Consider the following 25,922-nt stretch of genomic DNA (forward strand, 5'->3'; position numbering starts at 1 on the left):
ATAAGGATAGAAAGTAGATTAGAAGTTACCAAGGGCTGGGAGGAGGGATGAATGAGGAATTATGGATTAGGGGGCACAGAGTTTCTGATTGGGGTGATGGAAGAATTTGGAAAAAAGGGGTGGTGGTTGTACAACGTTGTGAATGTATCAAGTTAACAAAAGTAATGGCAAAAACCACAATTACTTTTGCACCAACTTAATAATTAATGACACTGAGTCATGCACTTAAGCATGGTTTTAATGATAAATTTTATACTATGTATATATATATTTTTTTCCAAATAAATTTTTTAATGACCTATTTACAAACACAAAAGGCATTGAAATCTGGGTAACTAGATGCATGTTTTCTAAAAGGAAAAGCTTATTTGCTAAATAAAGAATTCATAAAAGGAAGCTCAGCAATTAGTCTTGGAAACAATTACAATGGTAGCAATAGTTTTTTCCCTTATTCTCACTTCAGACAAATATTATGGCAACAGAAAAAAATGTTAATTAATGCAATGAATTTTAAAAGTGAATGAGTGAATAACTGAATGATTAAAAAAAGAACCATTTAAATAGAGGAACATCTGAGGTTGAATACTTGGGTCCAGCCCAGTACAGTTCATTGCTCTGCTGATCAGGCAGATGTTAGCTGGTCAGGATGGTTTGCATTCTATATGCACGTAGAACAGACATGGACACACATATTTGTGTTTGGTAGGATGGGCTGTCAATTCGAATAGTCATGGGGCTTAACGGTCAGATCAACCAAATTGGTGCCCTGGAAGTGTCTCAGATTTTGTAACCTATGTAAGAGTTTTAATCTCACTGAAGCACAGTTTTCTCATCTAAAAAGTGAAAGAGAGAGAGAAAAAAGTCCAACATCATTGCTTTTTTTGTGGAGGTAAAGTACACCTGATTAGGGCCTGGCATGCAGAAATTCCTTGCTTATTCACTTTTATTTTTATTATAGAGGTTCAAATAAATTCATGTTGAACAAATAGTTATTCCACATAAAATATTATGCATTCTGAAAAGAATATTAGTGCCAGATGTTCATGGTATAACAATTTTTCTTTTTCTTTCTTAGCTAAATTTATACTTAGCATTCTTCATGATGTATGCAATATTAGTTCATCTAAAATCTAAGCTATAGCTCAGAGGCTTTGGGGGAAATACTCATCAGTGTTCAGAGTAACTCTACTGTTGGTGATCTGTAATGTATCTTTTCTAAGCAAACATAGGGGTTAAAATTGAGGCTGTGCCTTGCCTTGGAGGGTTAGTCTTATGAGCACTGATTTCCATGTATAGAGCTTTTTCTAACCTTTTTCTCTTTTTCTCTTCCCCTTCCTTCCATGCTGACTTTGGTGTAGCAGACCACTTGGGGATTGAATTCATGGGTAAGACTAAACAATTTGCTCATTTAATATCCTGGAAATGCTAAGCTTTATGATGTACATAGTGCTTTCCTTCTCCATCTGGTTATAATTGAAATGTCTCATTATCAGATGCTATTAGTAGGAAAAAATACTCTTGTCGAGTTTTCACTAAGTAATGGCTCAAAATGAAATAATTAACTACTTATTGGAAAGGCAATTTAATGTTAAATGCAGTGTCTGGAATCATACAGAAGTTGTATTTGGCTCCTGGCTTTGATTATTTCCTCTAATTCTCAATTTTCATATCTGTAAAATAGGGATAATAATAGGTTCTATTTTCCTGCACATGTAAATTGCTTAGCATAACGTCTGCAACATGGCAAACACTCAATAAAGGATAAAAAGCAATGGTTTTTAAATGTCAGTTTTTAAATTTTTACTTCTAAGTCCCCTTCCTTTTGTGAGATGATTCCTTTGGATACATTTTGGTATCAATTTTAGTTTGGAGTGTGGGCTATTAAACATTTTTATTCACAAAATTAAAATGTTTCCTTTAAAGTATTTGCAGTGAATGGTGTATGTTTCAAAGCATTAGAATGCCTTCCATGGGCATTGTTTTTATAGTCACAGATAACTGCATTCAAAATTAGACCTAATTCTCTGAGTCGATGGTTATACATTAAATGAAGAAAGAACATTTCATAAAGTTCAATATGCATCGTAGTACATGGATGGAAAGACACTCAGGATTTAGAGTTAGGGAAATTGAGAAGATCTAAATTTGAATCAAAATTCATCTGCTTCTTTGGATTCTATTAAATTCAGATTTTTTTCTCTTGTATAATGTGGATATGAATACTTGCTTTATACATGAATGTTTATTGTGAAATAATTATATACTTACTTGTATTAATTTATCCATTCACCCATTAATTCAGCAAACACTTATCAAAGTGTTGATTTGGGATAGCTTTGACATATTTGAGAGACGTTAAGTTGGTGGTTGTATTGTTGGAAGTGTTGAGAGTTAATTAGAAATTTGTGAAATGTCTTTATACCGGAATTGGTGTTCCCAGTTGTATGGTATTACTCATTATTGCTCCATTCTCTGGTTATTACATCATAGAAAAGGCAGACAGCTCAATTCCTGCAGGCTTGCGGTTTTGTTGGATAGATGTGATGAAAACTCAGAAAACCAATGAGATTTAGGATGTTATTCAAATGAAGCGCGATGGAATGTGAGATAGTTGTAGAAGGAAGTGAAAGAAGAATGACCGTTTCAATGAAATCAATTAGTAGTCATCATGAGAGCGCTTGAACAAGCTGGTGTGATGAAGAGATTATAGTCATATGGCAGATTGGTTGATTTTGATTTTGAAGATGGAGGAGTTATAGGAGATGACAATATTCAAAGCATTCCTATGAGTGTAAATAACCAAACTGAGGTTGAGGGGGAAATAATTTGAAACTAGAGGTCAAGGACTTGAGAGGACATAGTTTTGGATAAGTTGTCTAATGGATATTCCAGTTACTCATGATAATGCTAGGGTTGGGACAGAGAGAAAAAAAATGTTGGTTATATGCCAAAGTTTCCCATTAATATGATAAACTATACTGGAATTTAGTAGATGACAAGGAAGAGTATAGTTAAGGGTAATGCCAGCTGCATCAAAAAATAGAGCCCACGTTATTATAATGGCTCAAAGACGGTAGCAATTTATTTCCTGATACTACTTTTTCTTGTCCAAGGTAGATGTATTTCCTGTTTAAGGTAGCAAATGACTAGTTTTATTCAAGTAGTGAATTAGAGATCCAGGCTTCTTCCATCTTTTGGTTTCAATATTACGTAGGTTTCTTTGTTAACTGCATCTAGCCAGCAGATTGAGAAACAGAACAGAGCTGATGCATACCCAATGCTTAAAAGACTGATCTACAAGAACTCATATCACTTTTTGCTTAATGTTCTATTAGCTAGAGCTAAATTACATGACTTCATTTTGCTGTAAAAGAGGCTGGGAAATGGAACCCTGAGAGAACAGAGGAAATGCATTTTTAGAAATCTCTGCCACTGTGTGAATGGCATAAACTTTAAAGGAACAGGATTTTTCATAAGAGACAAGAGAAACTGTACGTTAGAAGCCAGGAGGACAGATCTCCAATGTTGAAAGTGAGAAAATAAAAACAGCTCTTGAGACAGGTAGAGGAAAATGAGACTTTTCAGGCAAGATTCAAGTTTCAGCTAAAATAGGAGAACAAAAATAAAGAGTCAAAGAAGAGATTGAGAATGCAGAAGGTGTGTTGCGGAATGTGGATGAGCAATTTCACTAAGCCAAGTGGAGGGTATAACTGGTGGAAGAGGAGTAGATAGCTGAGTCATGGGCCACAAATTACTGAAAATCATGGGCATATTTTTGCAGTAAGAATACATTGTTGAGAAGGGCACACAATTTGTACCCTCCTCATTCGCTAATGATGGCAGTGATTCGTAGCATGGAGGTGTGAGCATCAGTACTCATTTTGAATAAAATGTGCCCTGGGCCGCTTGTCCAAGAGCAATTTGCCCCACTAGTCTGTGGTGATTGCAGGCTCAGTGAGGCTTTATAAGTTGTTCAGCAGAATGCCCTCAAATGCAGGAAACACTGCATAGTTGGTGGTGGGACTAGGATAGGTCTAGATCCCCAGTGTAGCCATGGCTGTAGCAAACTAAAATTGCCATGCAAATTTTAATCCGTGTTGAAAGAAATGGACCAGTCTCCATCCTGTTGTGCTTCCTATTGTGTCTGAGGACTGCCAGTGGCACTGGTAATTTATAGAGTTATAATTTGCTATAGATGCAATCTATGTATTAAGAGCTCTGTTTTGGAATTCATTTAAAGAAATGTAGCTACTGACACAGGAAAAAATAGTAGATTGTCATGTAGTTCATCTACATGAACCACAAGACTAAGGTAATAGTGAGTTTTGCAAAAGATAGATTCTAATCATAGCTATAAGACCTCATGGGGAATGAATTCTCAGTGGGTGACTATTTGACTCCAACGGTAGAAATTTTCTTGGAGGGAAGGGGTTGGGGAACAACTCAGAGTTCAAGGGATTGGCTGGTATGCATATAGATAATGGCAGCTAAAAAAGGATTGTTTGCAGTAGTGAATAGCTTTATAAATTTAGTGAATATGCTGTTTTCACTGACCTCAATAATTCACCCCCACAGATTGTTCTAATTGAATATGTAAAATTCTGTTTGTTGCTTTGAGAACAATATTCTCAGATTTAACTTTTTTATTTTTATTTTTTGAGATGGAGTCTCACTGTATTGCCCAGGCTGGAGTGCAGTAGCACAATCTTGGCTCATTGCAACCTCCGCCTCCCAAGTTCAAGAGATTCTCCTGCCTCAGCCTCCCAAGTAGCTGAGATTACAGGCGCCTGCCACCACGCTCAACTAATTTTTGTATTTTTAGTAGAAACGGGTTTCACCATGTTGGCCAGGCTGTTCTCTAACTCCTGACCTCAAGTGATCTGCCCTCCTCAGCCTCCCAAAGTGCTGGGATTACAGACGTGAGCCACCACACCCGGCTAGATTTAATTTATGATTATAGAATCCATATGGGTAAAATTCCTTCCACTGAAAGTGCCATCATCCCAAGTAATATGACATCTCTAGGTATGAATTCAGCTGGGAAGGGGAAATGTAGGCATAGTCTATATGTAAGTTTAATAATGTCAGTTTATTGTTGTGCCAACAATTAATCAATGCTAGTTCTATTTGTGTGTGTGTGTGTCAATTTCTTTAATAGACTTGATTTTCACACAGTTTTAAGTTCATAGCAAAATTGAGTGCAAATTACAGAGATTTCTCACGTATCTTCTGTCTTCAAACATGCACAGCTACCTCCCTAATGAAGATCTCCTACAATAGAGGTACATTTGTTACAATTGACAAACCTAAACCTACATTGACTCATCATTATCATTCAAAGTCCAAAGTTTACATTATGGTTCATTCTTGATGCTATACTTTCTATAGATTCAGACAAACATATTATGATATGTATCCATTATTATATTATCCTACAGAGTAGGTTTACTGCCCTAAAAATCATTTGTGTTCTTTCTAGTCATCCTTGCCTTTCCCCAACCACTGGTCTTTTTTATTTATTTTATTTTATTTTATTTTATTTTATTTTATTTTATTTTATTTTATTTTATTTTGAGACAGAGTTTCGCTCTGTCACCCAGGCTGGAGTGCAGTGGTGCCATCTCGGCTCACTGCAAGCTCCGCCTCAGGGGTTCACGCCATTCTCCTGCCTCAGCCTCCCGAGTAGCTGGGACTACAGGCACCCATCACCATGCCCGGCTAATTTTTCGTATTTTTAGTAGAGACGGGGTTTTCACCGTGTTAGCCCGGATGGTCTCGATCTCCTGACCTTGTGATCTGCCCGCCTCGGCCTCCCAAAGTGCTAGGATTACAGGCGTGAGCCACCACACCTGGCCCCACTGGTCTTTTTACTATTGTCATAGTTTTAACTTTTCTAGACTGTCATATATTTGAAATAATACCTTTTGTACTGGCTTATTTCACTTAGTAATTTTCTCATGTGTTTTCATTGCTTAATAGCTAATTTTTTGTATTTTTAGTAGAGACGGGGTTTCACCGTGTTAGCCAGGATGGTCTCGATCTCCTGACCTCGTGATCTGCCCGCCTCAGCCTCCCAAAGTGCTAGGATTACAGGCGTGAGCCACCACGCCTGGCCCCACTAGTCTTTTTACTATTGTCATAGTTTTAACTTTTCTAGACTGTCATATATTTGGAATAATACCTTTTGTACTGGCTTATTTCACTTAGTAATTTTCTCATGTGTTTTCATTGCTTAATAGCCCATTTCTTTCTAGAGCTGGATAACATTACATTGTCACCTTTTGAAGGACATCTTAGTTGTTTCCAACTTTTGACAATTATGGATATAATTGTTGTAAGCATCTTTGTGCAGGCTTTTGTATAGAAATAAATTTTCAACTTTTTGGTGTAAGTACCAAAAAGCATGACTGCTGGGTCATATGGGAAGGATATGTTTAGTTTTTTTAGAAACTGCCGAACTGAATTCCAAGGTGGCTGTGCCATTTTGCATTCCCACCAGCAATGAATGAGAGTTCCTGTTGCTCCACATGGTCTCCATCATTTGGTGTTGACAGGGTTCTGGATTTGGGTCATTTCAATAGGTATGTAATGGTAACTCACTGTTTCAATTTGGACTTCACTAATGACACTTAATGTGGAGTATTTTTTCATATGCTTATTTGCCATCTGCATATTTTCTTTAGTAAGGTGTCTGCCAAGGTCTTTGGCCCATTTTTTAATCAGTTTGTTTTCTTATTGTTAAGAATTCTTTGTATTTTTGAAAAATGATCCTTTATTAGATATATCTTTTGCAAATATTTTCTGTCATTCTGCGGCTTTTCCCTTTATTCTCTTGACAGTATGCTTTGCAAAGCAGAAATTTTCAATTTTAATAAAGTCCAGATTATAAAATCTTCCTTTTATGTATTGTGCCTTTAACACTGTATCCAAAAAGGGATTGCCAAATCTAGTTTATCTAAATACTCTCATATGTGATCTGCTAGGAGTGTTATAGTTTTGCATTTTGCATTTAGGTCTGTGGTTTATTTTGAGTTAATTTTTGTGAAGAGTGTAAGGTCTGTGTCTAGGTGCATGTTTTATTGAATGTGGATGTCAAGTTGTTCCAGCACCATTTGTTGAAAAGTTTATCTTTTCTCCATTGTATTGTCTTTTCTCCTTTGTCAAAGATCAGCTGACTATATTAATGTGTATCTATTCTGAGTTCTTTGTTCTGTTCCATTAAACTATTTGTCTTTTTTTTTTTTGCCAATACTATACTATTTTGATTACTATAGCTTTATAATAAGTATTGAAGTAAAGTGGGGTCCGTCTTTCAACTTTGTCTTTTAATGTTGTGTTGACTTTTCTGGATCTACTGCCTCTCCCTATAAATGTTAGAATCAGTTTATGAAGATACACAATGTAACTTCCTGGAATTTTTATTGGAATTGCATTAAATCTATAAATGAAGTTGAAAAGAGCTGACATCTTGACAATATTGAGTATTCCTATTCACGAACATGGAATATCTCTTCACTTACTTGGGTTTTATTTTTTAAGTCTTTCATTAGTGTTTTATCATTTTATTTGTATACATCTTTTATTTTGCTAGACTTATACCTAGATATTTCATTTTGGGGGATGCTAATGTAAATGCTATTGTGTTTTTAATTTCATATCATATTTGTTTATTACTGGCATCTAGGAAAATTATTGACTTTACATGTTAACCTAGTATCCTGTTACATTGATATAATCATTTATTTGTTATAGGAATATTTTTAATTTTTAATTTTTGTTAACCTAAGCAATCAGGTCATCTGCAAAGACAGTTTTACCTCTTCCCTTTCCAATCTGTGTACATTTTGTTTCCTTTTCTTATCTTATTTAATTCGCTACAACTTCCAGTATGATGTTGAAAAAGAACAATGAAAGGGGGCAACTTTGCCTCGTTCATAATCTTAATGAGAAAGCTACAAGTTTCTTATCATTAAAAATTATATTAGGTATAGATATTTTGTAGATATTCTTCATCAAGTTGAGAAAGTCCACCTCTATTTCTAGTTAACTGAGAGTTTTTACCATAAATGGGTGTTGGATTTTGTCAAATGCTTTCTTTAAATCTATTGATATGATCGTGTGATTTTTTTAGTCTCTTGATGTGATGGATTACATTAATTATTAATATTGAACCAACTTTGCATACCTGAGATAAATGGATAAATGTCACTTGGTTGTGTTTTCCATTGTTCTATTTTAATTAGTTACATAATACATTTTTTCTCTTACTTTTATTATTCTTGCTTTGAGCAATATGACTTTCATTTATTCTTGAAGAACACAGGGTCACAAGGAGGTAATGATCTGAAGCACACGTCTTCTTCCCAAATCTTTATACTCTCAATGACCAGCTCTATTAGTGAGCTTACTGATCAGTCTCAAAACCAGAATACTTCATACAGTTTAACAAATTCCTGTTTTATAGCAGGAAACTCCAAGTCATATGCTGCAAGAGTTCTATATTTAATTGACATACATTTGTCACATTTACTATATGCCAGATGTATAAGATGTTGGATATGCAGATATATAATACATATCTCTGGATGTCCAAAACCTCTAAAACTAAAAAGAGAAAGCTACACATAAGTGAGGTGACATAATAAGTGCTCTAAAAAAAGTTTAGGCAAGATACGATATGAAAAAAAAAAAGAAAGCAATTGAATGGGCTTGGAAAGTTCAGGAACAGCTTTCCAGGAAAGGGGACACTTAAGCTGAGTATCAGCCAAAGTGGATAAGCTATACTTAGTAATGCCATAGTGCAAATCTATACCGGCCCCATATTGCTCCCACATTAAAGCAAGACTTGCTATTTCAGTCTTTCTTCCTGTATCTATCAGCTTCCGAGAGTCACCACTTTAGGACCGGAAAGAGGATAACAACTTCAGTAAAAACAAGTAACCAAAAAGGTTTTTGAGTAGATTTATTAATTTTAAGGAGTGATTATCCCATTGAGGAAGCCATGCCAAACCTAATGTCTGTAAAACTGTCAACATTCAACATGATTTTTCATTTATATTCCCGAATTTTTCTTAATGATGCTCCTGGGATTGGTACCATGGAAATTTCAACAGCAAATACTGATCTGCAATACGGTGTCAGTTAAAAAATAAAGTTAACTGACATAATTAGAGCAGAAATTTGGAAATGCACACAGAAGCAGAATTGTGTTTGTGAAGTTTTTGAAACAAAGAGAGTTGATAGAAAATCAGTAACCAAAAATATATATCTTAAATTCATGTCTTAACCTCATTCATTCATTCATGCATGAGGGAAAATATAGATTTTTACAGTCAGATGTTTGAAATTTCCTTAACAGTTTGAATAGATCAAGAGATATAATTGACAGACTTCTTCATAAGCCTAAATATTCATGAGTGATGTGAGAAACAACCAATCATTTAGTTTAGGCAGTTGGCCAAAGGGCATGTCAGACTGGCCATTTTGGAAGGTGCAATAATCACGAAGGATTTCTTATCTAACAAATATCTAGCTACTGTGTGTGAAATGTATCTCATTAGGTCCTTTTGAGCTATTTGTTAAGTGGTTATTTTTCTAACAATGTCTTGATGCATTTGATGTTCCAGGCATCAAAGATGTTTATATGAAAGCAGGTGCAATGCCATTTGAAAATGTATTAGCAAGGGACAAGTAGAGTTGAAGATTATGTGGAAGATCTTTAATGCAAATTTCCTTCATTCTCATCGGGTAAACGAAATGAATGCTGTCAGTTAAATATTTTGTCGGTGATTTGACATTGTTTTTAGGATAGCATAATATATTTATGCAAAGTATTGTTTGAGCAAATTCTGGTGTAATTTTTTAAATCAAAAGATGTATAGAACATAGAAAAATAAGATTCTTAATTAAAATCTTAAAAAGTTATTATAAGATAATCTTTGTATTTTTTAAGTTAAAAAAAAAAAGAAACAGTGTTTTCCATATGGAAGGCATAGAAATGTGTTGTACTCAACGTCTGTGATATAAATTATATTTATAGGTTTAGAATTGATAGAATATTACTTCAAACTTGATCGTATATTGGGTATTCTTTCATCCTCTTGTGTAAAGAAAATAGGCTTTAGTGTATTTTAGTGAGCACTGGGGATAATCTCCTAAGAAGTGACCAGTTTAGGATCCTGTTTAGATGATAGGAAGTGGGCTTTTTTCTTCTTAGAGCTACCCTGCATATTGTAAATGACTTGGTGTTTTTCCTTTAAATCTAACAGGCTCATATGTCAGCCAAATGAATTCATATTTCTGTTCTAGTTTGTGAACTGGCGTTAGAGATAGAACTGAGGATTCTTTTTTCCTAAGCTGAAGTCTCTGAAGTAGACTTATTTGGAAAAAAAAAAAAAAGCATTTTCATTCATTTGAATATATTATATTTCTGTATAGAATAAAATGGTAATTTATGGATATATATGCATAGATGTGTGTTTGTGGAGGAGTGCCATTAAAAGAGTTTAGTTTTGCTAGTGTGCCCTTTGCCATGTTAAACTACGTGAGAAATCAGATATAGTGGAAAAACAAAAGTTACATGATCCTTTAAGCTCTCAAAATGAGTGAATGAAGTAGTAACTATTTATATCGCTATCTTACAAATGACAAAACCTGACTACTAATTAGCTGAATTATCTTTCTAAAGAGCAACAAAGTAGCAGATAGGAGTTGAATTCAAATCTGTCTTTCTCCAGAGCTCTTGAATTATTTAGGTGACTAATGGATGAGCAATAGGGCTCCATGTTTCCTCAAAGAGGTTGTACTCTTGCAGTGTTTCAAATGGCAAAGCAGTTCTGTGACTAGTCCTTAGTTTTGAAGGTAATGTTTTCTGAATCCCTTCATGTCATAAGGATCTTGGCCAGTAACTCACAATTATCCAAGCTACAAGCAAATGAAATATGAACCAGATCCTGTTTATAGCTATATATTCAGAATTATAACTGCCAACAGTATAAAAAGGACCACTTAGCTGGTCATTGTATTCTCTCACATGGGGTAATCTACAGAAGTTGTATTGTATTGAAGGTTTTGTGGTGAGTACAGACTGTGTTGAATGAAGTCATTTGGGTGGTTCTACTGTACATGCCATTGGGGTATAAAGGCCTTACTCATTTATCTCCTCTGATAGAAAACATTTGCCAAATTAAATCATGATTTGAACCATCTCTCCACTGGCTCCTAAAGATTCTATTGGAGAAGTATTTAATACTTACACAATATTGTTTTCTCATTTATTTTATTTTAAGGAATATGACCACTCTCTTTCTATTTTTTATTTTTCAAGGCAGGGTCTTGCTCTATCAAACAGGCTGGAGTGCAGTGGTGTAATCGTGGCTCATTGCAGTCTTGACCTCCCAGGCTCAAGTCTTCTTCCCATTTTAACCTCCCCTGTAGCTGGGACCAGAGGCATGTGGCACCATGTGCAGCTAATTTTTTATTTTTTTGTAGAGATGAGGCTTCTCTATGTTGCCAAGGCTGGTATCAAACTCCTGTGCTCAAGAGATTTTCCTACTTCAGTCTCTCAAAGTGGTAGGATTACAGGCGTGAGCCAACGTGCCTGGCCCACTCTCTCCCTTTACACTTTGATTTTCTGTTGGTTTATTTTAACATGGGCTTCAGTACATGCGCTGTTAATCACAAGCCCTCCAAGTATTTTGTTTTAACAAAGTTATCTTTATTTGACATGGACATTCCAAAGACTCCCAAGCCATACATATAAGGATAATATTTTGGCTTAATTATTAAGAGTAGTCATTAACACATATTGGTACCTCCTATTGGGAGAAGTAAAAGTGTTTACACAAAGTCATGACAACTAAGTCAAATAAATTCAATTCTGAGATAATTTTCGGGTGAGATTAATAGTGTTCAGTGATCTTTGAAAATGATACAACCAAAAGATGTATTGAAGAAGTATGCAGATCTATTAATCATGATTTCTACAAAGAAGAACATGAGTATTTCTGTAAAGATGTTTTTGGACAAGATTTTAAAATCAGCTAATAAAATTTGATTGGTAGACACTGAGGAAAGTATTGAACTATTGGCAAAAGCAGTGCTGTTCACTGAAGAATAACATAAGACCAATACATCTTTGCTAGATTAATAGTATAATATTTTCCGTAAAGTTGTTAAATAACTAGATTGGAAGTTTCTACGTAGGTGTGAATATATGGACTTTAGCAAAATCTTGGGCAGAATTTCATGAATTTCTTATGTAATATGGTGAAACATTAATTATGTAGTAATTATATAGTGATAGATAGATTTGGGGCAATGAATTCTAGTTGAAGGATCAAGACCAGCCATGAGCAGAGCTTCTAGTTTCTTCTAAGGAAACATTTTTATGAATTGAAATAAGGGTATAGCTTGAACATTTACCAAATTATTGAACTTTTTGTAAAAAGTGAATGCTTCTTTGTCAGAGAGCAAGTCTAACAAAAAGCATTGGACATTGGACTTATCAAATCAGACACAGAATAATCTGATCTTTTAGTCAGTATCAAGTTGATTACTTACATATGCCAAATATCTCAACTGCACGTGAGTTGGTAGTAGGTTCTGAAAATCTGGGATGTGCTAAAATAAAGGGAAATAAAGAGCAACAGTGATGTTCAGATTGTACTTAGAAAGTAATTCTCAGAGAGAGCCAGGCATGGTGGCTCACGCCTGTAGTCCCAGCAGTTGGGAGGCCGAGGCAGGTGGATCGCTTGAGGTCATGAGTTCAAGACCAGCCTGACCAAGATGGATGAAACCCCGTCTCTAATAAAAATACAAAATTAGCCAGGTGTGGTGGTGCATGCCTGTAATCCCAGCTACTTGGGAGGCTGCGGCAGGAGAATCTCTTGAACCCTGGAGGCAGAGGTTGCATTGAGCCAAGATTGTGCCACTGCATTCCAGCCTGGGCAACAAAAGTGAAACTCTGCCAAGAAAAAAAAAAAAAAAGAAAGAAAGTAATTCTCAGAGTTATCAGAGAAGTTAAAAAATTGTTTTTTATATCCAATTCTGCCTTACAGTTGCTTCAGGAGCTAGGATAAGTCAGCTTAATAGAAAGGGGAAGAAAGGACAATGATGGAACATCTGCAGATGCAGCAAAGTGAAGATGATACAGGTTCTTCTCAATAAGCAGAGTCTGTCTGCTTTGTGGGCTCATGATGGTTCAGCCAGTCAGAATGTGTTGAGCCCCTGTGAGAGCTCAGGCCTTGTACCAGGCCAGCTACAATAAGTCAAATGAGACAGACTCTCAAGAAGTTCACAGTTCAGTGCATAGGGCAGACTTTTTTTTTTTTTTTTTTTTTTTTTGAGGCAGAATTTCTCTCTTGTTGCCCAGGCTGGAGTGCAATGGTGCAATCTTGGCTCACTGCAACCTCTGCCTCCCAGGTTCAAGCAATTCTGCAGCCTCCTGAGTAGCTGGGATTACAGGTGCCTGCCACCACACCCGGCTTTTTTTTTTTTTTTTTTTTTTTGGATTTTTAGTGGAGACAGAGTTTCACCATGTTGGCCAGGCTGGTCTTGAACTCCTGACCTCAGGTGATCCACGTGCCTCAGCCTCCCAAAGTGCTGGGATTACAGGCATGAGCCACAGTGCCCAGCCACATGGGACAGACTTTTAAACCAATTATTGCAATTCTTGCAAAAAAGACTTAAATTGAAGTTTTGTTTTGTTTTACAAAAGGTCAGATGAAGATGTCCCAAACATATACAGGATATTAATATATGTTTGACACACATGAACATAAATAGGAGTTGAGTTCACATACATGTGGAAAACATTAGGTTCTGTACCTCTACTGCATAGCTTCACAAAGTCTTAGGTGTATTCTATTCATCTGTGAATCTTGGAGAGAAATCTATTGTAGGCAACCTTTTTTGAACTATTTGTCCAAAGGAGCATATATGCTAGAGCTACGGTTTAGGGTAAATCCTGGGATAAAGGGAGACAGAGGAAGGAGCACCCACATACATCAGAATAGTTCGGGCCATTTTTAAGTGAAAGAATAAAAAATTATATTTCTACAGTTAGTAGCTGGAGAAAGGAAATATGAGAGAGAGGGAAAAGGAAGAATAAAGGGAAATAAGAGATGGAAGAGCACATTTGGGAAATGGCAAGGAGTCCCAGAACTGGACAAACTTGATGTAGTTGGTGAAGGGGCCAGAGCAGATTATGACCACCCTATCTGCCCTTTGAAATAAGTATAATCTTATCTCTTGTTGAAGAAGAAAACCTTCTGAGGTTTCAAGCAGGGAAGTGATGAGATTTTCTTAAACAGCTTACTCTGTCAGTAGCTGTGTGCAGAGTTTGCCTGAAGGCACTGATCGCAGAATCCTAGCTAATGGAACAAACTTGGGATTTTACTTCAAATATTCACCAAATGCTAGCCCTTTAAGCAACCCTGTGGACATTAGAAGGATAAATTTTCATTTAGTCTGTGCCAGATTCAGAGAAAGCGGCAAGTGCAGAATGCCTGGGGAGGCAGTGAGATGAGTTGCAAAGTGGACCTTGAACTGGTCTTCGAGGAAAGAGCACTTGATTTTTATGGGCAGCGATGGAAACATCCTAATGAAGATGTCAGCGTAAACAGGACGAGGATGAGGCAATCTGTTTGGAAATACTGGCTCTCATCAGCAAAGGGAATCACATTATAATTTAATTTGGATTACATATAACTTTTTCCTTAAAACATCCATAAAAGCATACCATTCCCCTGCATGAAACTTTTTAATGGATTTAGAATGAAATCTAGGCACTATCTGCTGCCATGCCAAGTCCTCCATGATTTGGCTCTGCCTGGCACCCTGACCACTCCTACCACGTTATTATTCTCATTTCTCTACCTACCCCAGGGCCTTTGTCCTGCCTTTCCCTCAGCACTAGCTATTGTACTTATCTGCACGTGGTTGATTCCTTCTCATAATAAATAATTCAATTAAATACATTCTGTAAGAGACTTAGCCTCTCTATTTTATGTACTTCCTATTTTATTCATATTAACTTCTTTTGTTTCTCCACTGCATTTATTAAAATCTAACTAATTTATGTGTTCACCTTTTTCTCATCAGCCTCTTCACTAGAAAATAAGTTCTGTGATAGTAGAACTTGCTTGTTGTGGATCTCCAGCCCAATGCTTAGCATAATTATAAAAGCTCAATGAATACTTATGGAAATAACACTTTTAAAAATAAATGTAAATAGTATATGTTTTTCTTAACTCTTAAGTTGCTTAAATGTCTAAAACGTATAAGCAAACCCACCCATGAAACACAAGACCATGCAATTTAGTTCTAGATTAATTCTCAATCAGCGATCTTCTTTCTTGAGATTTCCTCTGCTTAAGCAGTAGCATATAAAAAATGGTATTAATCTAATGAAGACTTTTTTTTTTTTTTTTTTTTTTTGAGACGGAGTCTCCCTCTGTCGCCCAGGCTGGAGTGCAGTGGCGCGATCTCGGCTCACTGCAAGCTCCACCTCCCGGCTTCACGCCATTCTCCTGCCTCAGCCTCTGGAGTAGGTGGGACTACAGGCGCCCGCCACCACACCCGGCTAATTTTTTTCGTATTTTTTAGTAGAGATGGGGGTTTCACCGTGTTAGCCAGGATGGTCTCGATCTCCTGACCTCATGATCCGCCCTCCTCGGCCTCCCAAAGTGCTGGGATTACAGGTATAAGCCACCATGCCCGGCCTAATGAAGACTTTTTAAAGTTGAAGTTTCCAGTTCACTTAGTAGTACTGAGGGTTAAAGGTGTTAAATATTAATGTTTCCAACAGGATTGGAACACAGCTTAGGGAAGTCAAGTAAATTTGCTTATCCAGTGAGGTCGCCTGTCTTCATGTTGCATTCACTCTTCTAAGAAGGATTTCATCCCTTTTTTTTTTTTTTTTTTTTTTTGCATGAGAATTGAAGCAGAAGCTTGTGCTGTATTGAAAGTATATTGAATATGGGCTCCGTTTATTGATGAAGCTTTCAAGCACTCACCAGTTAGGAGGCATAGAGGAAAGAGAATGAATGTTCACTATTATATAAGTTATGGGCATGGTAGGTGACTTCACAGGAGTTATCACATTTTGTCTTTTGAAGTTACCAGGGATCTTAAATATGTGATGTATGAAATCGCCATAACCTGAGTGACCTAATCTTTGGTTTGGGGAAAACTGCTCCTGTCTTCATTTTAGTATCCTTGGGAATACCAGATTTGGGGAGCTACCTAGTATGTATTCAAGAAAGCTGTCCATATTTAGAGTGCGCACGAGTGAGACTGCCATTCGTGGAAGAGAAAGACATAGAGCTTCAGGGCACAGAAAGTTAGTCTTTTAAAAAAGCCTCTTAAGGGAATTTTTTTCCACTATATATGTGAAGAAATAAGGCTGATGAAAGTAAAAGTAATATGCCCAACTGATAAATAGTAAAGATGAATAATAATCCAGATCAAAATGTCTCTAAAGCTTGAACTATTCCCATAATCCTTCCCTAGGAGCATAATATAAAATGGTGTGTTTTCTCCAAATATGATGATATCCTACTTTGTGCTGGGCTCCAAGCACACTGGGCCAGGGCCATAACTACACTCAACTAGGCCCTCAGCTGTAGAAGGTATATCATGGGTAGGCTGGCCAGATTTAGTCAATAAAAATGCAGGACACCCACATAAATTTAAATTTCAGAGATGTAACAAATACTTTTTTAGGCTAGATATGTTTTGTGTATTGCATGAGGTGTATCTATAAACATCGTATTTGTTGTTTACTTGTAAAGCCATTTTTGAGTATTTTATCTGGCAACCCCTGCTGTAGGGCCATGAGCACAGTAAGGAGTGGCTCCCCAGTGACCCACTTCTATCTCACACTCCAGTTCCCAGGAAGGCTGAATTAGAGTTAATATGAGCAGTGCAGGAAGATAAGCAGAATTAATGAGGAAACTTAGCAAAAGGGGTTGGAATAAGAGTGTGCTTTGTGTCCCAAGGGACAGCTCTGCTTGTTACACGATGAGAATTATGCACAAAATACTAAACTGTTCCCAAATTACCTCAGCAACTATGGTTGTTTAACAAGGCAAACACAACCTGCAAGCTCATTGGTTCTGGGCAGGATGGATCCTGCTGTCAGAGCAACTGATGAACTATTTTAAAGCCAAGTTCCTATTGTGAGTGAAATAGATTAACACTTCAGATATGGATGCTTCAAAAAACAAATAGCAGCATGCTAACTTAGTTAATGAGTTTTTGAGGAAGAAAGTAGCATTTAACTTACCAAAAGATGCAGTTCAAGGCTATATTAATGAAGTAATAACAGCTGTGTCTTTATCTGTTCACTACCCATTCATTTTCTCATTACATTCAGACTGCTAACTTCAGTCACAAACATGCTTGTATGAGAATATGGGGCCTTTTGTTCCTACCAGAAAATAATCAAGATGTCTATCTTCTAGAGTTGTACTGTATCATAGAAGTGATTCAATGATTCTGCTTTTCTATTTCTGTGAGAAAAAGGCATGCTATGGGATTCAAGCACTGTAATAAACACACACACACACTGAAGCCAGGTGGACATTTATCAAATTTTGACTTCATCTCCTATATGCTGTGAGACATGGGCTATCTGCCTAGCTATATATCTATGTATTTATGTATGTGTGTATGTATCTATCTATATCAATGTCCACCGCTGATGGTTCATTAATATAAAGATTGATGATGTAACACCCCACATATGCATTTCTTGACATACAGGCATTCAAACTATGTTTTTCCTTTCTTCATTTCCTAATGTGCTACACTGTGTTTTCCTGGTTTACTGAGTATGCCTGTGTGTCCAGAAACCCTCAAGGACAGAGCTGTGTGCTTTAGGAGTCTTCCTCGTTTTTGCCCCTGGAACAGTGCCAAATACTATAGAATTTTAGTTGCATCTTGCCACACCACCTGGCTAACCTCATCTCATCTACTCATGCCTTTCTCAACCATTCAGAAGCACGTTCTCTTCTTTTAACACGCCGTGATTGTCCATGCCCGTCTTTTCTGCATGTGATTTCTATGTGCCATGACACTTAAGACTTACCACCCTTTCCTAATACATCGTTCATGCAGATCTGCATTCTTAGTGTATAAGGCGCTTATGTGTTCTACTGTAACTTTGCTAGATTATGGTGTCACCATGGTTTATGTCTGTCTTACCCCAAAATATTGTGAAAGACACAAACGACATTATCTCATTCCAGTCTCAGCTGGAATTTCAAATCCCATTGTCTAAATCAAATCCAGGTGAAGATGAGGCTCTTCACATGTAGTTCCTTAAGCTTTGGCAACATGAGTAGAGTTTTCTTGACGGTAGATGTGTTAACTAAAGAGACAATTATCTGTCCCACATACACCTAACATGCAATGGCAGACAAGCAAACAACATTATAGACATTTCTGCTCAAAAAGGATGGTGGAGGGAATGGAAGGCACTGTCCAGTGGAAGAATCGCTGGTCCATAGCAATAATGTCACCAAATAAGGCAAATGTTGTAAGTTCCTTGTTTAGGTCTCAAAAGTGATATCACACCACTTTTGCCATATCTTATTTGTCAGGAGTTAGTGGGTCAATCTCACATTATAAGGAGATGGGGTCCTTGAGGGCATCTTAGAGATTGTCTACCACACAGTTTCCCAGAGCCTTTGGCTAGTTTGTGTAGGACTTCCATATGCCACAAAGGCCTGTGTCACACATTCTTTTGTGTTATCTTCTCAATACTGCCTGTTTAAGGTGGGTAACAGTTACTACCAACAACTAGGACCCCAGGAAAAGCTCAGGTTTAAATACCTGACAAACCAATGATTACATTAGCTGCCAGTGGATACCTCTGTGTGGGTGATTAAGACTATTATTCACCTGTAAAATATTCATACCTCTCTCACAGGAATGTGGTTAGCATAAAACAAAATAATCTATTTGGAAGAAAACAAGCATACCCTTTCTCTAAAAATATTTACTTTTATAAGTTTATGATGCTCTCAATGTGTAGAAGACATCGTTTCAAATGTAGTTACATAATATGTTGATGTATGCGGAATGTGCTATATAAGAAGGCATGCCTTTTTTTCTTGGAAAATTATATTGTCATAAAAAGTCATGTTTTTGTTATTAAAATCAAACACTATGTATTTACAGGTCTTTTTTTGCAACAATTGCCCAATCAAATTCTTATTTCTGTGAATAAATGATATATTATTATTAATTATACATTTAGAAGAAGCCTCGGAGATCAGCAAGTTGAACCTGTCCCTTTTAGCTGATCAGTCTGTATATAGAGTTGAAATCTGTCTGTCTGTATAGCACAATGTCATGAAGTCATAGATTCCTGGAATTTAATCTTTGCTCTTTTAATTACTAGAATTTGGGTACATTAATTTTCCTGAGTCTCAGTATTCTTGTCTGTAAGACAGGGCTAATAATAGTACAGTGTATATTCTAACAACTCTTGTAATTGTTGAAAAGAATTTCCCTAGTCAACTTATATTTGTTCTCTAATCTGCTCCTTCACCTCATAGTCTCTCTAGTCCTTCAAGATAATTATCTTGGCTTCTCTCTAAGTCTTATCTCCTTAGTCATACTTATTATGATATTATTTTCAACTCTTTCTTTTCCTGTGCACTATTTTCAGAAAAGCTTCGGTTTGTCATTAACTCTTCAGAAGTTAAAACCTATGTCCCATGGTATTTTGAAACTTAGTTGAGAGAATGCATGTCATACTTCCAGAGTAGCTCATATGCAGTAAATGATCCAAAGTATCCTGATTCATCTTTTCTGTCATTTTTTTTCACACCAGAGTTGTGTCTCTCTCCAGGAGATAGCTTTGTAAATATTTTGCTATAGTTTTTTTTTTTTTCCTCTTCCCCAGCCACACTTTACAGAGTGGAGATGATACTATGCAATTCTGTCTATTTAAAATGTATTTATATTAAGTTTTCTTGGTATGGAAATATTGCTTATATTTATCTTGTAATTTGTTTTGGCTTTATAGTTGTATAAGAGATATAAGCAAAATGGGTCTACACTTTGTTTTACCTGTCTACCATTAAAAATTTCCCTTGGGGGGAAAAAAAAGATGTTTGTCTTACATAACTGCAGTTGTTTTATATAGCCTTTAGTCAACAAAAATATCACTCTTAGTGGACTAGGCTAGAACTGTCTTTTAGCAACTTCTACTTATATATTTATGATGATTTACTTAATTGAGATATAACACTTTACATATTGTTCTAACTTTCGTCATCTTTGTTTTTTCTGTTCCACAGATAAAAAATACAGATATTTTTGCATATTGAGGAAATAAAGTTTAAAAATTTGACATTCCTTGAGCCAAAAGAAATGTGGAAAATATTTTTCACCTTTCTGTTTTGCCTGATTAATGTTTAAATTCTCATCAAAACTAAAGTAATTTTTAAAATGCCATTGTTGGTAAGATCTCACAGTTTGGCAATGCCCACAGTTATGACAAACACAGAAAACTGGTATTTCTGTAAAATTGACGCTATACTATTAAAACAATGTGACATTATCCCCTGTCCTTCTTTAACCAGTAGCATACTTGTGTTTTCTACTTCTAACTGATCATTATTTTCCCATCATATATTTACCAAATTTTACCTAGAGTTGTAGAACCAAATGGTTCTTACTCTTCATACTGCAAAGACATGAATGATGTTTGGTAACCAAAGAAAAATATATGTTGCACTAAGGATTAGTGTTCTTGCTGTTGCCACTGGTCTGACCAATGAAAAGATGGTAATGTGTATATTAAAGTTCTTTTCTCTCATATATACAAAAAATATTGATTCTGTCTTATAACAACTGGAACTTTTCCAGTCATTCTGTCCTTCAGATATACACACTGACAAGTGAGGACATACTGAGATGGGCGTGGATGTCCCTTATTTATTGTTTGCTGTAGAAATGGAATCACAATCTCAGAACTACAGTTCCAGATTTCAAAACCTTCTTTTTTTGGCTTGATGTTATAATAGGAAAATATCTTCAATTTGGTAAAGTCAATCTTCTATCCAAGAAGAATAATCTTCTGCCCGTAACTACAACTTTTCTAAATACTCTTTCTTTTTTGGAAAATGTATGGTTATGTATATATTTTACTACAGAGAACACAATGAGTTTTCTAACACAATTGTGACAATAGAAGGCAAAAGCATGATGCTCCTGTAGCTGAAACAGGAGCATTATCTTTGGGAAAGCTGGAGTTTTCTCTGAAGACTACAGTGTGCCTGCTGGGTCACAGTGATTCCATGGTCCGGGGAGATTGCCTTATTATGCCCAACATCTTAGGAGGCTGACATTTCTGTCAAGTTGCCATTGTGGAAACAGCAATAGGATATGAATACTATTATTTATTAACTATAACAAGTTGCAATTTCTGCCAGTTTATAAAGCTACTTGAGTTTGTAAAGCTTCTGGTTATGTAAAAGTGAGACTGAAGTAATTAAGACCAAATATAAATTTTGTCCTATGTCAATACAGATCTTCAAAAAAATAAAATACAAAATATACATTGTAAGCCAACTGCAATGTAATCACTGTGGCTTTCAGGGTTTGAGGTATTGAAGAATTGTAGGCCATCTTTGGGGGAAAGTTTACCGGATATCATTTGGAAATGAATCCCCTTTTGAGACGGGGTTTCACCGTGTTGCCCAGTCTGGTTGCGAACTCCTGAGCTCAGGCAATCCGCCTGCCTCATCCTCCCAAAGTGCTGGGATTACAGGCGTGAGCCACCGCGCCTGGCCTATTTTTTTTTTTGTATTATTATTTTTTTAGACGGAGTCTCACTCTATTGCCCAGGCTGGAGTGCAAGGGTCCGATCTCGGCTCACTGCAATCTCCGCCTCCCGGGCCCAAGGGATTATCCTGCCTTAGCCTCCCGAGTAGCTGGGACTACATGCATGCGCCACCACCCCCAGCTAATTTTTTTAGTAGAGACAGAGTTTTGCCACGTTGGCCAGGCTGGTCTCGAGGTCCTGACCTCTGGTGATCCACCCACCTCAGCCTCCCTAAGTGTTGGGATTTCCGGCGTGAGCCACAGGGCCCGGCCTTATCAAAGATTTTTCACGAAATAAAGATAATTTCATTTCCTTGGTTTCAACAGTGTTTCATGGAAGAGTGTATTATTTTCTTCTCCTATTATGTGTCTTCTTTTCATATGCCCTCAATTTCCCTTACTCATTTATCTTTTACAAAGGCACTTCCTTTCTTTATTTGGAGCTCAACCCTCACTAGCAGTACCTCGCATATACATGAGTTTGAATGTTCCCTTACAGGAAGAGGAATGTATTTTTGGCAATTCTGAGCCTTTTTATAAAGTTCAGATTGGATCGATACGTTTTGCAGCTTTTTTTGACTAAATGAAAACTACTTTAAATGCATTATTTTACCTATCCGACTGACTTTGTGAATTAATGGAATAATACGAGCAATACACTTGGGCTTTGGAGCTTAGTATTGTCAGTGCTATCGATTTGTTTAGAATATTTCCATGAATAGTTTATAGGATCCTAGCACACTGTGGCTGAACGGACCTTTTGAGACCTTTCAGTCTGTAATCCAGATTCTTATACTTACTGAGAACTGAGGCTGAGATGCTACAAGACATGCCTACATTTTCTCAAGTAAAGACAAAGTTAGGTTTCAACAGCAAGCATTTCTTAGCTATCTGCTACTAGGCATAGTCTTATCATTTCACCTTTACTGCTTTTGTCTTTAAATGACAACCAGTTCAGATCCTCAATTCTTATAGCCCAATGTATTTATACCTAGATAGAAAGATAGATAGTTGTAGTCCTTCTTCAATGAGGATTCCATACAATTAGCCTTGAGGCTTAATGACACCCTTGTAAAATCGTTCTAATTAGCAAAGATGCATTATCACAGAAGCAGTTCTTACCCTTCGGAAATGTCTCGGGAAATGTCTCACGCAGTCATTATTTTGATCTGGCTAAAGATGCAGTGTAGCAAGAGTGGCTAGGTTCTACTCCTAGACGCTGTCATGGCCTTGTTATTTTCAAAGGGTGTTTGTAAGCTCCTACTACCGTGCTGCATTCATCTGTGTGTCCCTCATGCCCAGCTCAGAGATTAGGATAGAGCAAGCTCTTAAATGTTGCTGGACAATTGGATTTTCATAAGTCACTTTTAATGATTTTACATACCCAAGCATCAGCTCCGATTACGCTGAAAGTGTGATGCTCCTCTTACCTAGATGACATTTAAACTCCCTTCATATTGAAAAACAGAATTATCTAAACAAAAAATATGGTTGAAAGAGTTTATGGCAAATAGAATTTGGCTGTGAATTATGTTTTCCAATCCCTGCTGTATAGAGCAAATTGTTAGAATCAGCATTTATAATTGAGTTTCAACTAAATGCTTTGTTTTATAATTTGCTGTGAGGTAATTAGAAAAATGTGCATGAAAGCATGACACGTATAAATCACAGGTATATTCATCTGAAGTATTTTGTGCAGTTTATATTTATAGCTCATTCTGTGAAGCTAAATCCACTGTATTGAAACAGACAATTAAAGGAAGGTAAAGGGACTATTTTCCCAGCAATTGCAATGTGCTAGGCATGATGCCAGGCACTGCACAAGCTCTATCTCCATTAATCTTCTCTAATGTAAATATTGCCACCACTTCACAAATAAAGAAACTGAACTATGTATAAAACTGAGCTTAAGGGGATTAATGAATATATTATTTGTTGTTGAACATATGCAGGTCTAATTAAAGTAATTGCAAGTTATATTAAAAGAATTTGTGGTAGAGACAGAAGTTGAACCCAGTGCTGACTGGCACTCTAGTTATTGTTATAAAGGCAATTTGTATTATTGAGTTACTTTGAATAATACACATTTTACATTTATTTAAATAACCATTTAATTTGTAATGATAAGTTTACAGATTTTTTAAAAATAGAAACATATTATGGCATCATTGTGTATCAAACAAGGGCTATTTATAAGAGCTCCCTTGGTGTGCTTTTATTTTCCTTGTCTAAATGGAGCCAGATGACTAGAAATTGTGGAAAAGCATAGACTGGTTCAATAAAATCGAACCTGGAGACAAATCCAATTCTATACTCTAACACAGCCATTTGTAAAGTGTGTTCCCTAGTGATATTAAGAGGTGTTTTGTACACACACACTCACATAGCAAACATTAAAAATAAATAAATGGTTACATATGTGCATGACAGAATTCCATGATCAAATATGTTGAGGGATTCCTGGGTTGAAGAAAATAAAGCATTTGTTTTAAAATTGTGTAAATGCTCATATCCATTGACTTGAAAATGTGCCTCGTGAAGCTCCAAGGGAGAAATGGAATTTAAAAAATCCCCAGACCTTCTCATCACAAAAATCTCTTTTACAAGAAACAATTGTTAAATCTTGGAGTGTAAGTAGATAGCATGATACATCTTGGGAAATGCTTATTCATTTACTTATTAACAAAAGCGTATGAGCACTTACTGTACGCCAATCATTTTATAGGTATTGGGAATGCAGAATGATTAAAACTGACAAAGATTTCTGCCCTTGTGGAGCTAATATTCTAGCAGGGGAGACTAAATATAAACAAGACAAAGAAGTGAAATATGTATGACTGATTCTGATGATTCTTAAGAAAGAAAAAATAAAAACAAGCAGATAAAAGGCTGGACAGTGTCAGGACAAGGAGTTGAATTTTTAAACAGGGAGCCAGGGAAGGCCTCACTAAGAACGTAGTATTTTAGTGGAAATTGAAGTTAAGGAACAAGCTCTGTGGATTTTTAAGGGAAAACTTTCCAGGCATAGGAAAGTTGAAATTCAAGCGCAAGGCAACTGTGACTGGAGCGGAATGAGCAAGGGGAGGAGTTAGATGAGGTCAGAAAGGTTACCAGGACCCAGATCGGGAAGGTCCTTGAAGGTTATAGTAAGGAATTTGGTTTTGAGTGAAGTGGGGAGCCCTTGGAGGGCTTTGAACACAGGAATGACAAAACTCGGTATTAGAGCTGATTTTTTGAGAAAAGCCAGGTGTGGTTGAGAGGGAGGGTAAAACAATCAGGTAGAAGGCTACTGTAAGGATCTAGAGGAGACACGAGGGTGACCTGAACAAAGATTTCAGCCCTGGTGAACTCCAATCGGATTCTGAATCTATACTGAGAGAGAGTCTGCTGGATTTGTTGAAAGAGCGGATACCGGGTTTGAGAGACAGCAATCAGAGATGAGCCAGGATTTCGACTTCAGTAACTGAAAAGATGTTTTGAACTTCTTAGAATGAGGAAGACCTTGAGAGAAGGAGGTTTGGAGAGGGAAAGTTGAATATAAGGAGCTAATTTTTAGGCATAATAATATCAAGATGCATTTTATGTATTCAGGTGCAGAGGTGGATTTGGCAGATGGAATACTAAAGTAGGCGGTAAATATCACTCAGTTTACATAGATAGATCACATGGAAATTCCAAAGTTAGAATGGTCTAGATTTAAATAGCTAATTCTCATTTACAGAAACTTCAACGTGAAACTACAATTCTATAAGCTAACTTGTGCAGCCCTGCTTCCAGAAGAAACAAAGAAACAGAAAAAATCAAAAGGGAGGAAATATCGCCTGCCCCAGTCTTAAGTGATTCCCATTCGTTGCCTTTCCTGGGCTTGAAGGTGGAGTTTTGAGTAAAACAGCAGCAGTGGTTGCTGGATGCTTTCTGATGGCTCTACAGTTGCCCTGAAGGAATCTCAATAGGAGTGTTCCTTAAGAATCCTGCTGATGAGCAGCACTCCACCCTCACCATCTTCAACTGAAACAGCCTTAGAGGAATTTTTGCTGGTTTATAGATCTTCTGTTTTGACAAAGATAGCTCGTGACATCACT

At 36.6% G+C, this 25,922-nt stretch overlaps 1 protein-coding gene across 24 annotated transcripts in view; it reads left to right on the plus strand.

Moving 5' to 3' along the window:
• The window catches only part of NRG3 (neuregulin 3), a 1,111,986-nt gene that overhangs the window by 988,859 nt on the left and 97,205 nt on the right, over positions 1 to 25,922 (plus strand). For 12 of the 24 annotated variants that reach the window (XR_001747009.3, XM_017015573.3, XM_017015577.3 and 9 more), the window contains one exon: positions 1,359 to 1,385. The exons of 1 other annotated variant lie outside the window; for it this stretch is intronic. Coding sequence is in view for 19 of the 23 variants with exons in the window: in XM_017015573.3 (XP_016871062.1) it covers positions 1,359 to 1,385 (27 nt within the window). In the remaining 4 variants the exon portion in view is untranslated. The remainder of the gene's footprint in view (positions 1 to 1,358; positions 1,386 to 25,922) is intronic. 11 more of the 24 variants (NR_163251.1, NR_163252.1, NR_163253.1 and 8 more) reach the window with 1 other exon arrangement.

Source organism: Homo sapiens, chromosome 10 (genome assembly GCF_000001405.40).
Source record: "Homo sapiens chromosome 10, GRCh38.p14 Primary Assembly".
In the NCBI taxonomy this organism is placed as follows: Eukaryota; Metazoa; Chordata; class Mammalia; order Primates; family Hominidae; genus Homo; species Homo sapiens.